The sequence below is a fragment of the Homo sapiens genome, chromosome 18, assembly GCF_000001405.40.
Source record: "Homo sapiens chromosome 18, GRCh38.p14 Primary Assembly".
Lineage (NCBI taxonomy): Eukaryota > Metazoa > Chordata > Mammalia > Primates > Hominidae > Homo > Homo sapiens.
Genome location: NC_000018.10, coordinates 45,140,270 through 45,157,070, shown reverse-complemented (window position 1 = coordinate 45,157,070; position 16,801 = coordinate 45,140,270). Strand labels below are relative to the sequence as shown.

The window sequence follows — 16,801 nt, the reverse complement described above, 5'->3', positions numbered from 1 at the left end:
GGGCGGTTGTAGAAACTTTTAAGATCAAGAATCCTTCCTTGTCCTTTCTTCTGCTTCTCCACCATATTGCAGGGAAGACCCATCAGAGGTCTGTGATGGGAGGTGAGAATAAATTTCTTACAGAATTCCTATTCCTTAACAGATGGGCAAGATCTTGGTAGATTGTTCTCCTGTCCTGCAGACTCTCTGGCTCCAGCTGAATCTATTGCTCACTCTATCCTCTGTCTCCTCCATTCCCTATCACAAGTTCCACATTGACTGATCAGAGATTAGGTGACTTTTATGGAAGGAAGAAAAAGAGGGGGAGGAAGAGGCGTTTATGTATATATAATATTTAATGAGTACCTAATAGGTGCCAGGCATTATGCAACTATTTTAGATATATATTATCTTTTTTAATCTTACAATAATCCTATGAGGTAAATATTATTTTAAAGATTAAATGAAGGAAGTGGAGTAACTTACTTAAGGATACATGGGTAAGTAAAGTGAGAATTTAAACCCAGGAATGTATGACCCCCATTTTTTTCCATCTCACCATGCTATTGTTCAGTCCCATTGGTTAGCTTGTTGCTGACTTTGAAAATTTATCTGAGCAAACCACTTCAATTTTGCACAGTATGACTAAAATCTTGGAGTCATAAAGGACAGAAGAAAGAAGTCAGTGAAGTTTAGGTAAGAATCTGACTAATATTTATACAGATTTTTCCATACTCTTCAAATAACCTTATCTTGATTCCTCTTTTGTTACTTCTGATGTGAAAACTGAGGCAGGTAAGAGTTATGTGCAACAAAGTCAGTCAATTTCAGAACCAGGATTTGACCCCAAATATTGTGTCCCCATTGTGGGGCTAATTTCCCTTCACCGTGCTCTTATCTCATGTAACTCTTTATCCATCCATGGTCAAGAGACAGTACTGGTGGCAAATACAGCTTCTTTGACATTTTAATGATTCCAATGATAGTGGTATTCTTTAATTAAGACCTCTATAAATGCTTTTCTTGAAATTCCCCATGATAAAGATAATAACTTCACAGACCAAGCTGAAGGAGTGCATTCATTGGCATTTTTACCAATTTTCTTCTTGTTCCAGAGTGGTTCAAATAGTATAGGATTAAGAAATGTGTTTTTAGGGTAATTTGGTCCAGAAATTTCCAAAGGGATTTATAAGAAATGGTTTCCACACTCCAAGATCAAAAATATCCATCTTACTCACTTTAGGAAGGAAGTGAGGAAATGGCAGGAGAAGCTATAACAGAGTCTTCATGAAAAAGACTCAATCCCTTGTGATTAATGGGAACCTCTAAAATCAGAAGCCAAGGCCATTAATCATTCAACCAGCTCTCCATAAGGTTGGCATCATCCACTCACCCACATACCTGTAATGACTCAATTCACAACAGGCAAACTTGAACTGCAGGAATGGTCCTCAGAACAGCATTTTAAAACTGTTGTTAGTGAAACATGGATGATCTCATTAAATCAATGAGTTTGTTCCTTTCTAGTCCATAAATGTGGCTTAAAGGCCATTTTTAAGGCTGGACTTAGGGGAATTGCAATTGCTTTCAGGACTGGAAGTGATAGACAGGGAGATTTTTATCTCAATGTGTGGTAGGAATTCTTGGGGTGAGCTTGATATGCCTAAGTGCCCATGAGGCTGGAGGAAAGGAGTGCAGAAGAAAGGTCACCTATATTGGATGGCAGAAAGGATTAGATTTCCTTCCAATTCAAAAGTATTGGTGTCTTAGTTATTTCTTGGCATGGTATAATTAATTGAGAGACACATAATGGAGCAAGCTCCTCCAGGGAGTTCCAGATGGATTGTAAGAGCACTGTGGCTCTCCCTGGAGAAAACTCACAGGAATAGAGGTTGTTTCAAACTAGATGACTCCCCTAGCCCAAGGTATTCTGTGCAAGGGTGGCCAGCAATCTTCTGGTGGAGGAAAAAATCTTATGTCTATTGCATCTGAATACTTCTGAGTTCTTCATTAAATCTTAGTAAGGTAGAGTTCTTTTGACTGGAGTGTTTAATTACATGGGCCTTACTGCATTGACTGAGCATTTAAATTTGTCAGTAAAGGGGAAAAAAATCTAGATGAAGAAATTTTTAAAAATATAGGTTGTTTGGAAGTCAGTACAGACTCAGTCTCTTCTTTTTCCAAAAGACATTTATAAAGCATGAACTACGAAATAGGGTTTGTGATAGATACTTTGTAGAAAATAACTGAAAACAGCATTATAAGACAGTTGTGATTATTTCCATTTTACACTGGAGGATACAGAGATGCAAAGAAGTTGAATGGCAATCCCAAGATGACTCTACAACCTTCTTCATGATTTTAGAAGAAATATTCACTCCTAGGTCCCAAGCACCCTCACTAGTGAGGAAAAATAAATACCGATAACCAACACACTAATTACATGGAACTAACATGGTGGAACCACTGGGATTTTCTACTTGACCTGCAATTATACAAAAAATTAAATTCATCAGGGGAACTCATAGCCTTCTAAGTATATCATGAGTTGGTTATATTTTCTTCAGTTCTAAGGACATTATCTATTATGAGCTAAATTGTGTTCCCTTAAAATTCATATGTCGAATCCCTAACCACCCAGTACCTTTAAATGTGACTGTATTTGGTGATAAGACCTTTAAATATCTGATTAAGTTAAAATAAGGATGTTAGGGGGAGCCCTAATTCAATCTGACTGGTGTCCTTATAAGAAAAGAAAATATGGACAGGCATAAGAAATGGCAAGGATGAACCCACACTGAGCAAAGAGCATGTGAAGAGGCGGCACGAGAATGGCCATCTGCAAGTCAAGCAGAGAGGAAGCCTCAGAGGATACAAACCCTGCTGGGTTCTTATCTTGGAGAGGGAGGTACAGGGCACAGACAGCAGTAGAGTTGAGACCACTCCAAGTGGACTTGCACCAGTGAAGAACTCACAGCCCATTCATATGGTTTTAGCTAAAGGATCTAAACAAATATAGTCAAATATATTAAAAAACTGTGTTCTTAGTTTTTGCCAGTCATATTCCATATTGTTTACTGAAGAAATTCTGCATTATACATGAAATCTCTCTCTCTCACACACACACACACACACACACACACACACACACACACACACACACACACACACACATATTAGGAGAGATTCTGCTTATATCTCTGGAATCTCAATGATCCAAATAACTATGGCATCCAACAGAAATTTCTGTGATGATAAAAATGTTCTCTATCTGTGCTGTCCTTTGCGATAACTGCTATCCACTGGCTACCGAACCCTTGAAATGTGGCGAGTGTTACTAAGAAACCGAATTTTCAATTTTAGTTTAATTAAGTTAAATTTGAGTAGCCCTGGGTGGCTAGTGGCTATCGTATTGGATACAGCAATTCTAAATCACGTGGAAAAATTGAACGTGGCATTGGTTTTGTTTGGAAATGAATAACAAATAAGGCTAAACACAAACCTCAAAAAAAAATTCAGCGTCCAGTAATATTTTAGTACAGACTCCATTGTGTTTTGCAAACACCAATTTGACTTTTTTTTTTGTGTGTGTGTGTGTGTGTGTGTGTGTGTGTGTTAGTGAGACGGAGTCTTGCTCTGTCGCCCAGGCTAGAGTGCAGTGGCATCATCTCGGCTCACTGCAAGCTCCGCCTCCTGGGTTCACGCCATTCTCCTGCCTCAGCCTCCCGAGTAGCTGGGACTACAGGCGCCTGCCACCACGCTGGCTAATTTTTTTGTATTTTTAGTAGAGACGGGGTTTCACCGTGTTAGCCAGGATGGTCTCCATCTCCTGACCTCGTGATCCGCCCGCCTCAGCCTCCCAAAGTGCTGGGATTACAGGCGTGAGCTACCGCACCTGGCCCCAATTTGAACTTTTTAAGAAATAGAAAGTAAAAAGAAGATGTAAAACCCAGAAAATGTGCCTTAACATGTAGTTACATGCCTAAGGGAACATAAAGAATTATAACATTTTAGACATATAGGACATGTTAGAAAGAGGTAGTTTTGGATTTCTGATTTCTAAAAAGTGGACTGGGTTCTTCCTGAAATCTTCACTTCTTGCACAAAACCATTGCATATGTAAGAAAGAAATCAATTACTTCAAAGCCATACTTTGTAGTATGAACAAAAAAATGAGGAAACTTCCTCAAAAGAGATACAGACAGGAGAAAACATGGTGGTGAAATGAGGACAGAACCGTATTGCTTTGCCACTTGACAGGGAGACTTTCACAGATAATGAAAATTTCAGTGGGAAAGTTATGTGGAAAAATTTTCTTGAAGCTAAGCATTTAACCAACAGCTACCGATAATATGAAGAAAGCTAACACCATAAAAGGAAACAGAGATAACAGAGTAATTTGAAAGGCTCTTAAAATATTTAAATATCCTCAGAGAGATAATGGATGAAATAATATTCTTGAAAAAACAGCCTATAAAACAAAAACAGGAGATTAAAATAAAAGTAGGTACCTGAGTGCCCATCAGTCAATGAGTGAATAAAGAAAATGTGGTATATATATGTATATATACCATATATATATATATATATATATACACATATATATATCAGGGAATACTACTCAGCCATAAAAAGGAATGAAATGATGGCATTTGCAGCAACCTGGATGGAACTGGATAGCATTATTCGAAGTGAAGTAACTCAGGAATAGAAAACCAAACATCATACATTCCCACTCATAAGTGGGGAGCTAAGCTCTGAGGATGCAAAGAATGATACAATGGACTTTGTGGACTTGGGGGAAGAAGGTGAGGGATAAAAGAGTACAAATTGGGTACAATGTATACTGCTTGAGTGATGGGTGCACCAAAATCTCAGAAATCACCACTAAAGAACTTACTCACGTAACTAAATACCACCTGTTTCCCAAAAACTAATGGGGGGAAAAAAGAGTAGGTACCTATGACAAAAAAAGTTTTAAAAATATAAATAAAAATATATATATAATTAAAAAATCCAGACACAGCTGAAGGGCAAACCAGTAAGATAGATGTTAGGTTGTATTCACACAGAAGATAGGGAAACAGAAACTACAGACCAAAATTAAGTGGTGTGGAAACTTGATCTAGAAATTCCAAATGCATTTAATAGGAGTTCTCAAAATAATTTCTTTAGCAATCATTATCTCTCCCATAGTTCTTTATCCTCTGAAGCATCTGAATACTCATGCCCTCTTTTTGACATTCCTGATATCAAGTTTCTATTCCAAGAAAGCGGATTTGCTCACTCACTCTGTCACACACTACACTTACCCTGATCTCGAAGAACATTCCCCTGCCTAAATTATGTGATCCCAGGTAGATGCTGATCAGAACTCCACCATCCTGCAAGGACCACCTGCAGGCACATCTCCTACATGAAGTCACATCTTGCTCATTGTGTTCCTCTCCTTGGCTTTCAAAAATGTGATACTTATTTAATACATCATGGCATTTTCCACATTGTCTCAATGATCTCACTCATAACTGACACTAAATGCTTAGTTTGTGACTAATATTTTATATTTGCTTTAAACTTTATACTCAAAACAATGCTGTTAAGTGGACATAATTCTTCCATTTTTCAGGTAAGAAAGATGAAGCTTAGGGAATAACTTGCTAAAGACCACAGGGCAAACAAGTATCAGAGCCAGGATAGACCAAAGACTGCAATATAGGCACTGTGCAGGTTAGGCACTGTGCAAAGCGGGGCAAGAAGAGGACAAGTGAGGCCTGATAACTTATTCTCTGCTCAACAAGCCAACAATGTGCCCTGCCTGGGGAAAAGGATGTCTTATTCTAATTTGTCAGAGGCATGCTTGGGATTTTTACTGCAAGAGATCTGAGTATATCTGCCTCTTACCTGTACATACGCCCCTTATTTAAAAGATGGCATAATGAATCCCAGAGAAATAAAGTGATTTTCTGAAGCTTACAGAGCTAGTGGAACCTGAGCTGGCATTTCAGGCATTCCATTTCTCTGTCACCCTACTTGAATTGCATTTCACTTACATTTTGTTATACACTGTTTATCATTGCTTTATGATTGTCTCTTTGGTCTATATCTTACACCTGCAATAAACTGAACTCCTAGAGGTCAAGGACCATTTCTTATACTATCCCAGCACCATATACCCTACACTGAGGCATAGAGAAGATTCCAGCAGACATTCCTCAACTCGAATAGAATGCTTTTCAGAATGAAGTTGCCCCATGGACCTGTAGGTACCTCTGCAACAGCACTTGGTCATAGGGTCTTGAGAATACAGCAATCTGTACTCACTCCTCTGGGAGTAAGACGTCACCAGCTCCTAGCCAAGTAGTTCCGTCATGTTGGGGTCTTTACTGTTACCACTGGCTTCCAAACAGAGGCAGCCTTATCTGGAAAAAATTCTTTGAAAATTTCCTTTATCCCTTTCTTTTTGTTCATGCCCAATTCCATCTTTAAAGCAGTATAAAAAGGTATAAAGAATCACTGTGGAATTAGACCTTACAGATTCCAAGAATAATAACTTACATATGTCTTGAAAGGTTTAGGTGTTAAGATAAATGACATAAGCTCCAGGCATAGTTATGGGGTCAAGAAAAGCAATATTATTTTATATAAATATATGTATGTATATATATATATATATATATCCCCACATATTTATGTAATTTATGTAAGAATAAATGGGAGCTTTTAGTAGTTCTCATGCCTGAGGTTATGTGCTAATAAGTAGAAGATCTTGGAAGGAACTCCTAGTCTATCTAACTCTCAATCCAGTGTTTCCTTCTCTCATCACAGCTGCTGTGCCCTGAGGGGTGAGGGAAATGTGGTCGCCTAAAACACCATCAAAGGTTGCTGCTTAAACACTTCCCTCAGCCATATATGAAGGCTAAATCAGATAAAGATCCCAGGAAGTGTGCAACAGGTAAGGCATCTTGGAGAATTAAAAATAAATTCTTCTAATCGTCCTTTAGAACGTTAAAGGAAGAAATCATATCAGAGCCAGGTAAAAATTCAATGATATCTTTCCCGATAGTGAAGCAAAATGATCAAGAAATTCAACTCTGATCCAACCCACAGGCAATTGCAGCCATTCTCAAAAGGATCCTGTCTTCCCAAAATAAATGTCTGCTCCACTTGAGTTAAAATTAGACATACGTTCATTCTGGCTGTTGACACAGAAGCCTCTGGCAAGCAGGGTGGAATCCAGAATCTTCTACAGAAATGGCCAATCTCTATAAACATCCCCCAACATACCTGAGACTGAAGAAATAAAGTGTCTCACTATTTCTTCCACATCAGTATCCCCTCTATCCCTGCCCCACAACCAGCTACACTTAAACAAGCAGTGTAGTGTGAGAAAAAAACTTCCTCTCTCTTTGTGAGTGATTTCTAACATGAAATGGCACAAATATGAGATAGCTTTATTTTTTATAATGGTATTAAATTTATAAGATGTGTAGACTTTTCTCAGCAATATAATATTCATTGTCTCCTTTATCCATTCTTCGGACGGATATTTACTGATTGCCTACTATTACATTGTGCTAAGTATTTGGATATAAGACAAGGTCCCAGTTCTCAGTAGCCCCATAACTAAGCTATGGAAAATATTATTATCCTTTCTTTGATGAATAAAGAAATAGACACTAGGAGAGGGTAAGTGACTTTCTAATGTTAGTGTTGGAGGAGAAGAAAAGCCCAAGCCCAACTCTTTCAGAGATGTGAGTTCCCTTTAATCCTCATTCCCTTCAAGGCAGAAAAACCTAATGGCTTATGTCATTAAATTCATATTCAGAATTTGAATATTTGAATATTGCTGGGCTCAGAATAGTGAGCCCAGCAATAATGCTGCACATCTACAACCCTCTGATCTTTAACAAAATCAACAAAAATAACCAATGGGGAAAGGAGTTTATATTCAATAAATGATGTTGGGATCACTGGCTAGCCATACACAGAAGATGGAAACTGGACCCCTTTCTTATACCATATACAAAAAATCAACTCAAGGTGGTTTGAAGACTTAAACGTAAAACCTAAAACTATAAAAACTCTGGGAAGACAACCTAGGACATATTCATTATTAGAAAAACCTAATGAATATGTCAGTTCATTACTGACATATTCATGCTGCTGTTACAGTTTTTCCCCAAGGGTATTAAAGATACGTGAATAATCATGGGAAGAACGTTTATTTTTGGACTTGGGGCAATAATTTTTCATGTGATAGGAAAGAAAGAAGTAGAATTTAACCAAAATTTCATTTTTATTTTTTTTTGAGATGGAGTCTTGCCCTGTCACCCAGGCTGGAGTGCAGTGGCGCTATCTTGGCTCACTGCAACCTCCACCTTCCAGGTTCAAGCGATTCTCCTACCTCAGACTTCCGAGTAGCTGGGATTACAGGTGCATGCCACCACGTCCGGCTAATTTTTTGTATCTTTAGTAGAGATGGGGTTTCACCATGTTGGCCAGGCTGGTCTCAAACTCCTGACCTCATGATCCGCCTGTCTCTACCTCCCAAGGTGCTGGGATTACAGGCATGAGCCACCGCACTTGGCCCAAAACTTCACTTTAAACTTTTTTTTTTCCTGCATGAGCTATTTTGATATGAAAAACAACCTGCTGAGACAACTCTTTTTGTTTTCTACTTGTTTACCATAATTCTGGTTCCTGTCATTCCAGCCCTTTGTCCTTACAACAGCTTCAGAACTGGTCTCATTTCTAGTAACTTCTTATGCAAACCTAGACATAAAAGCATTCATATTCCTAGAAAATAATATCTATTTAATTCATTTGCTCAAGGAACTTAATTTTTTTTTCTGTAGGACAAAGTCTTTGTAAAGGTTGGAGATCAAACTCCTTCAAAATTATTCCAGTAATCAGGCCCAATCTTCCCACTCATTCAGTCAATATTCATTAAGAATTTAGGCTTGGGATACAACAGTATAAAACCCTGAGTCTTTGTATCCAAGGAACACCTGGGTTGGCAGGTAGGGAGAGTAAACGGGAGCAGAAGGGTAAGCAAATAATTACAACATGGTCTGAAAATTCCCTAGTAGGAGCCCCTGGTAGGCAGAGAAAGAAGTCTTCAGGAGAAGTGATTAACTCAGCCTAAAGATGAGTGAATAAGAAAGGCCTCCTGCATATTGCCAAAGCAAATCTACAGATTCAATGCTATTCCCATTAAACTACCAATTACATTCATTGCAGAACTGGAAAAAACTACTTTAAAATTCATATGGAACCAAAAAAGAGCCCAACTTAAGAATGATACAATGGACTTTGGGGACTCAGGGAAAGGGGAGGAGGGTGAGGGATTACACATTGGGTACAGTGTACACTGCTTAGATGATGGGTGCACCAAAATCTTAGAAACCACCACTAAACAACTTATTCATGTAACCAAACACCACCTGTTCCCCCAAAAACCCATTGAAATAAAAAAACAAAAATAAAAATAAAAAATAAAGCAGAAAAAAAAGAGCCCAAATAGCCAAGGCAATTCTAAGCAAAAAGAACAATCCTGGAGGCATTGTGTTACCTGACTTCAAACTATACTACAAAGCTAAGTAACCAAATAGCATGACACTCATACAAAAACAGACACATAGACCAACAGAACAGAATAGTGAGCCCAGCAATAATGCTGCACATCTACAACCCTCTGATCTTTAACAAAATCAACAAAAATAACCAATGGGGAAAGGAGTTTCTATTCAATAAATGGTGTTGGGATCACTGGCTAGCCATACACAGAAGATGGAAACTGGACCCCTTTCTTATACCATATACAAAAAATCAACTCAAGGTGGTTTGAAGACTTAAACATAAAACCTAAAACTATAAAAACTCTGGGAAGACAACCTAGGAAATACCATTCTGGACATAGGCCCTGCCAAAGTTTTCATGATGAAGATACTAAAAGCAATTGCAACAAAAACAGAAACTAATAAATGGGGCCTAATTAAACTAAAGAGCTCCTGCAAAGCAAAATAAACTATCAACAGAGTAGATAGACAACCAACAGAATGGGAGAAAATATTTGCAAACTATGCATCCATCAAAGGTCTAATATCCAGAAATCTACAAGGAACTTAAATAAATTTACAAGCAAAAAAAGAAACAACCCATTAAAATGTGGGCAAAGGACATGAACAGTTTTCAAAAGAAGACATACACATGGCCAAAAAGCATATGAAAAATGCTCAACATCACTAATCAGTAGAAACATGCAAATCAACACCACAATGAGACACCATCTCACACCAGTCAGAAAGGTTATTATTAAAAAATCAAATAATCACAGATGCTGGATTCTAGTGAGGTTGTGGAAAAAAGGAAACATTTATACACTTCTGGTGGGAAAGTAATTTAGTTCAGCCATTGTGGAAAGCAATTTGGCAATTTCTCAAAGAACTTAAAACAGAATTACTATTCAAGCCAGCAATCCCATTATTGGGTATATACCCTAAGGAATATAAATTGTTCTGCTATAAAGACATATGTATGCGTATGTTCATTGCAGCACTATTTACAATAGCAAAGACGTGGAATCAACCTAAATGCCCATCAGTGGTAGACTAAAATGAAAAAATGTGGTACATATACACAATGGAATACTATGTACCCATAAAAAATAATAAGATATGTCCTTTGCAGCAACATGGATGGAGCTGAAGGCCATTATCCTAAGCAAATTACCACAGGAACAGAAAACCAAATACCACATGTTCTCACTTATGATTGGGAGCTAAACTTTGAGTACATATGAACACAAAGGAGGGAACAATAGCCACCACAACCTACTTGAGGGTGGAGGGTGGGAGGAGGGTGAGAATTTGAAAACTACCTATCAGATACTATGTTTATTATCTAGTTGACCAAATAATCTGTACACCAACTCCCACAATACACAATAACAAACCTGCACATGTACCCCTGAACCTAAAATAAATGTTTAAACAAATTAAGTATACAAAAAATAAGTTTTTAAAAAAGAAAAGCTTCCTGAAAGAGGAAATGTTTGAATTCCTCTCCACCTAGTCTTCCTTTTCCGTCAAGCCAGTCTTCTTACTATTCAATGTGCCAGTTGTGTATATTTCTGCCTTTTATTTTGGCTTAATTCAATGACTACTATTTATTGAACATTTACTATGTCCTAAACACTGTGTTATGGATACAAAGTTTTATCACATCAACCCTCAAAACACTTGATGTCATTGGGAAAACTAACTTTCCATATTCCTCATGCATTTACTCAATACATTTAAAAGACTTAAAATATATACAAAACATTGATGTCTGACATCATCATTTCCTTTGTCCAAATATCCATCTTCAAGGACAGGTCCTCCATGAGTTTATTCTATTATCTCCCAGGACTCGGAAATACCCCTGCTGCATGTCTGGGGCCCCATTATATACTGTTTTATTCTCCTGTGGTGTTACCTATATAGATTGTATTTCTGTATGGTGTCATTGGTCAATGCTGAGGGATCTCATAAGAAAAGCTTCCAAGGAGTATGTGCTGTGTCACTACCCAAATGATTTTGTAAAGGGTGTTGTTAATTCTTTTACTCAGAGTCCTCTTTATGATGGCTAGTAGTCCTCTTTATGAGACATTCCTAGCTACTGTTAATGTTAGGAGAGTTCTGGGTATCCTGAACAAGTCATCTTTTTGAACCTGATAAGACACTACATAATTTGCACGATTCATCAGGCTTTTTTCAAGGTAAACTAAATTATGTCTTATAACCAAATTTGTGGCCAACGCATAGGAAGTATTTGTGAAATGTTTGGTTCCCTTTACTTCTTTCCTCTCTCTCTCCTCTTCCTTTCTTCCTTCATTCCTTCTTTCCTTTATTTACCATTTTGCTATTTTTTTTTTACTTTTCCTGGTAAGGTACCTGATGTCTCTTCTAGACCAAAAAAAAAAAAAAAAAAAAAAAAAAAAAAAAAAAAAAAACCCTTCTAAATAAATAAAAACAATATTTGCACTTTTCTTTAGTTATCTAATTCTATAACATAAAGCTATTATGGGACTAGGGTTTCACCATAACTTTAAGGGTTAGATTTTCTGGGAAATGTCTGGCAGTTTTCCTGTACTATGAATGGTGGAAAATGTAAGCAGAGTTCTTTGTAGGAAAACAGGAGCAAAGCTCTTCTTTTGCTTCGTAATAGGAGCAAATTGAAACAAAGCTGAGGTATAAATTTCAAAGAACAATCCTGAAGTCATTGAGTCTGAGGAGCAAAAAGATAAATTCAGGCCTTGAAGTTCACACCTACTGGGAGAAGGTAGGGAATGGGGAAAACTGACCCTTATATTAAGGTTCCTGATCTGCCAAGCTTTAATGATATTCCCTTCCTTAAACTTTATTGATTTTGATAAACTCTTAACTCTGTCTTGCTTTAGGGAAAGCCATTGAGGTATATATTTTTATGTAAAAAGTGTATAGAATCAACATTTATTCCTTGCTGAAGACCTACAGAAGATATGGAAAACACATTTATTGAAAAACGATTCAGTAACCAACATTCAGAGAAGCACAGGGAACCAATGATTAGCTTCAGGCAGTGAGAATCAGGCCAGATCTCAGTAACCTTCTCTGTAGAGTGCATTCCATCTCATTGAAACTCCCAGCCTAGCCACTGAATAAAGCAATAATGCTGCCCACACACAGGTTTCTACCCTCCAGGTTTTAGACTATCTAGCAAGTTGTTGATCCAGCATCCAGCTCTCTTCTATCTATAGTTCACATTAAAGTTGGCCTTCTAGGCCAACAGTTACCTGGCTTTGTAAGAGAGATAGGTAGTAAGATAATGGAGGGTTCCGTGGAAGAGTCCCTCCTTGTCTCCCTTTTTTCCCATAGACTACTCCATTTAATAATCTCTGGGGAGATATATTTTATCATAAAGGATTGCTTCTTTGGATTCAAATATTTCTGTCCTTCTAAATCTCCATATGTCTGTATAAATGAGTTTCTCTAGTGTTTTATCCTGAAAGCTTTCCTTCCTGAAAGTAGAGGACAATTGCCTTATTAAAGAGAAGAAGGGAAAAGGGCAGTGGAGGGAAGGAAGAGGGAGAGAGAGAAAGAGAGTTTAATTCCAAGAGGACAGAATTATATATGGATATATGTCCCATCTTTTAATCCCTGGGGTGATCAAAGAAACCACAAACCATGCGAGAATAGATTTAAAGTGATTCTGAGCTTCTGGCACCCTGGGGATCCAGAAAAAAAGTAAACTTTTTCTAGAGGAAAATATATTCATCCTAAGACTTTGGGAACCTACACAGATATGTTTTTGAGAGAGAGGACTAGCCCACCATCAAAATAAACAGGGACACAAAACAAGTGAATACATCCACGAAGCAGCAGAAACAACAGAAAGAAAAAAAATATATTCACAAAGACTTTATAGTTGTATAAAATCACACAAATACTACAAAATAACCATGTTTACTACATCTATGTATAAAAATATTAAAAGCTTTAGAAAGTATATTTAGGGAATAGGAGACCCCCCCAAAAAGCCTGGCAAATTAAACAACAGCTTACAAATAGCTGGCTTCAGCTTAGGATGCAGAAAACTGAAAAATGTCATCCTCACTCTTAGAATGAAGAAAAGTGGATAATCTATGAAAAGATTATTTTTCTCGAAGACATCAGAGAGCTGAGTTTGCAGGACAACTGAGTAGCCTGAAATCCAAAGGAAGGGAGAAGTCTCCAAGGAAAGACAGGACACAGCACTTGCTTATTAGGGGCAGGTGCCAGGCATCCTGCAATCTGGTAAAAACTACTCAGCTAAAATTTGTAACAATTGCTAAAGAAAAATCATTGCTAAAGGATGATTAAAAATATAGAAACATGGGAGACACAGACATAAAGAAAATGAGTACAAACTCTCAGGATCTTTTCCAGGGACCATACTGTTGACTCACAAGAAAGATGGGGGCAAGGTGACAAAGATTAGAGAAATCCTCCTACGTGCTGCATGCCTGGAGGAGGGAAGCAGCAATAACTTTAGGAAAGGCAGCAAGTCTCACCTGGATTCTACTCTTCTAGCTGCCCTGCAGAACAAAAGCCTTAAGCTGCTGGAGGAAGTACAGAAAACCTCTTACCTCTCAGGGCACAAGTGGAAACACATCATAGCTGGGAGAATAGAAGAGAAAAAAAAATCTTAACCCCTGGGGAAGGAAATAGGTCGGAACAACTTCACTTGGTTGGCGCAAAAGAACTTGTACTATTGAGGGAGAGGCAGGATCATGGAGAAGGACCTGCACATGAGACCCAGGGACAAAGAATTTTCCTAAGACTAAGGCTGAATAAGGACAACAGAGAATTCCCACCTGCTCTTCCCTCTGCAACCAGCCTAGCAAATACTGAGGAAGAAATAACAGCAGTTTAAGGGGAGGGGAGAAGCAAGAACAACCAGAGTGAGCTTCTCTGGGCCTTAGGCACAAAGGGAAGACACAATACTAATGGTGAATTAGACATTGTCTTAGACCATTTATGTTGCTATAAAGGAATACCTGAGACTGGGTAATTAATAATAAGAAAGTGGTTTATTTGGGTAACAATTCTGATGTCTGAAAAAGTTTAAGATTGGACATCTGAGGACAGCCACAGGCTGCTAATCCCATCTCTACTAAAAATTAAAAACTCATGGTCAGGCATGGTAGCTCATACTCATAATCCCAGAACTTTGGGAGATCAAGGCAGGTGGATCACCTGAGGTCAGGAGTTTGAGTTTCATGGCAGAAGGTAAGAGGGGGCCAGCTGTGCAGGGATTACATGGCAAGAGAAGAAGTAAGAGATAGAGGTGCCAGGTTCTTTTTAACAACCAGCTCTTGTGGAAATGAATAGAGAGAGTTCACTCATTACCATGAGTACAGCATAGAGGGAAACAAGTCCTTCATGGGGGATGCACCCCCATGACCTAAACGTTTTCCATTAGGCCACGCCTCCAACATGAGACATCAAATTTTAACATAAGATTTGGAGCAGTCAGACAAACCAAATTATAGCAGACATTAAGAAAATAACCCTGACAAAACCAGTTTTTTTTTTTTTCATGTGCAAGCTAATGCTAGAGGAATTTGAAGCCTAAGGTAAACAGAAGGTAAATACAGCAGTAACAAAATCCAAACCCAGGTCAATTCCAAACTAGATTGACTCAACATCTCCACCACCACCACTAAAGGCATAGGCATGATAAAGTTAAAAAGCATATCTATGTCTAACAAAAATACTATTTGTCTTAGCCTTTATAGTCCTACACAAATGCTCATCTTCCAAAAAATATTATAAAGCAAAAATTCAAATGGCACACTATCAAGAAAAAAAGATCAATAAAATCAGACTGAGATATGCCCCATATGCTTCAACTACCTGATAAGAAATTTAAAGTAACTGTAATTAATAGACTAAAGGCTTTAGTAGAAAAGGCAGGGATGTATGAACATATAGAAAAATTTTAGAGAACAGAAATAAAGATGGAAATTACATGATCGAATCAAATGAATATGCCAAAAATAAAAGAGAAACAAAATATACAAAAATGTCTTTGATGAACTCATAAAAAGAGTAACAGAGAATAGAAAAACAATCAGTGAACTTGAAGGTAGGTCAACAAAAAGTACCCAAACTAAAACAGAAAGAAATAAGAATAGAAAAAGGAAGCAAGCAAAAAAAACAAAAAACAAACAAAACAAAACAAAACAAAAAAAAAACAAGCAAGCAAGAAAAAGAAAAGAAAAGAAAAGAAAAGAAACAGAAGCATATCCAAGAACTGTGGGACAATGTCAAACAGTCTACTGTATTTACAATTGAAATTTCAAAAAAAAATAGGAAGAGAAAGGAGAAAAAAATGTGAAAGTTATAATGACCAAAAATTTTTCAAAATTAATGAAAACATCCAACTCACAACTGCAAGAAGTACAGAGAACATCAATCAAGATATTTATCTATATCCCCCAAAATACACCTAAACAAATCATATTTGGACTGTTGAAAATCAAAGATAAAGAGAAAACTCTAGAAGGAGCTGGGGGAAAGTTGGTGGGAGATACATTACATATACTGAAAGAGAGATAAGAATTACAGAAGACTACTCATCAGAAAGTATGCAAGCTGCAAGAGAATGGAGAATAATTTCAAACTGCTAAATTTTTAAGACATCAATAGAGAGTTCTCTACCAAGTGAAAATATCTTTTAAAAATAAAACTAAAATAAAGCTAAAATAAATTTCTTATACAAGCAAAAATTGATAAAATTCACTACCACCAACACTGCAAGAAATGTTAAAAGAAGTTTTTTTGGCAGATGGAATATAATACCAGAGAATAAACTGAATATACAAAAAGAAATAAAAAGCAATGGAAATGACATAGGGTAAGTATAAAATTTATTTTATTCTAATTTTTATTACTGTGGATATAATTTTCTAAGGCAAAATAGTAACAATGTATTTTGTGTTTATTGCATGTAGTAACAGCATAATGTATAATAACTATAGCATAAAAGACAGATGGAAAAAAGTGGGAGTATGGTGTCATAATGTGCTTACACTACACATGAAATGGCATACTATCATTTGAAGGCAGTCTGTGACTAATTAAAGTTGTGTACTATAAATCCTGGGGCAACTACTGAAAAGAAAATTTTAAAAGAGATATAAATAATGAGCCAATAGTAAAGATAAAATGGTATACAACAGAAACATAAACAAATGAAACAGCATAGAGAACCCAGAAATTAATCTATTATGTACAGCCAACTCATTTTTGACAAA

At 37.1% G+C, this 16,801-nt stretch overlaps 1 long non-coding RNA gene across 2 annotated transcripts in view; it reads left to right on the top strand.

Moving 5' to 3' along the window:
• The first annotated feature begins 586 nt into the window (after positions 1-586).
• The window catches only part of LOC105372091 (uncharacterized), an 87,209-nt gene continuing 70,994 nt past the window's right edge, over positions 587-16,801 (top strand). For both annotated transcript variants that reach the window (XR_007066349.1, XR_935421.3), the window contains exons 1-2: positions 587-675; positions 6,805-6,931. This is a non-coding gene — a long non-coding RNA (uncharacterized LOC105372091). The remainder of the gene's footprint in view (positions 676-6,804; positions 6,932-16,801) is intronic.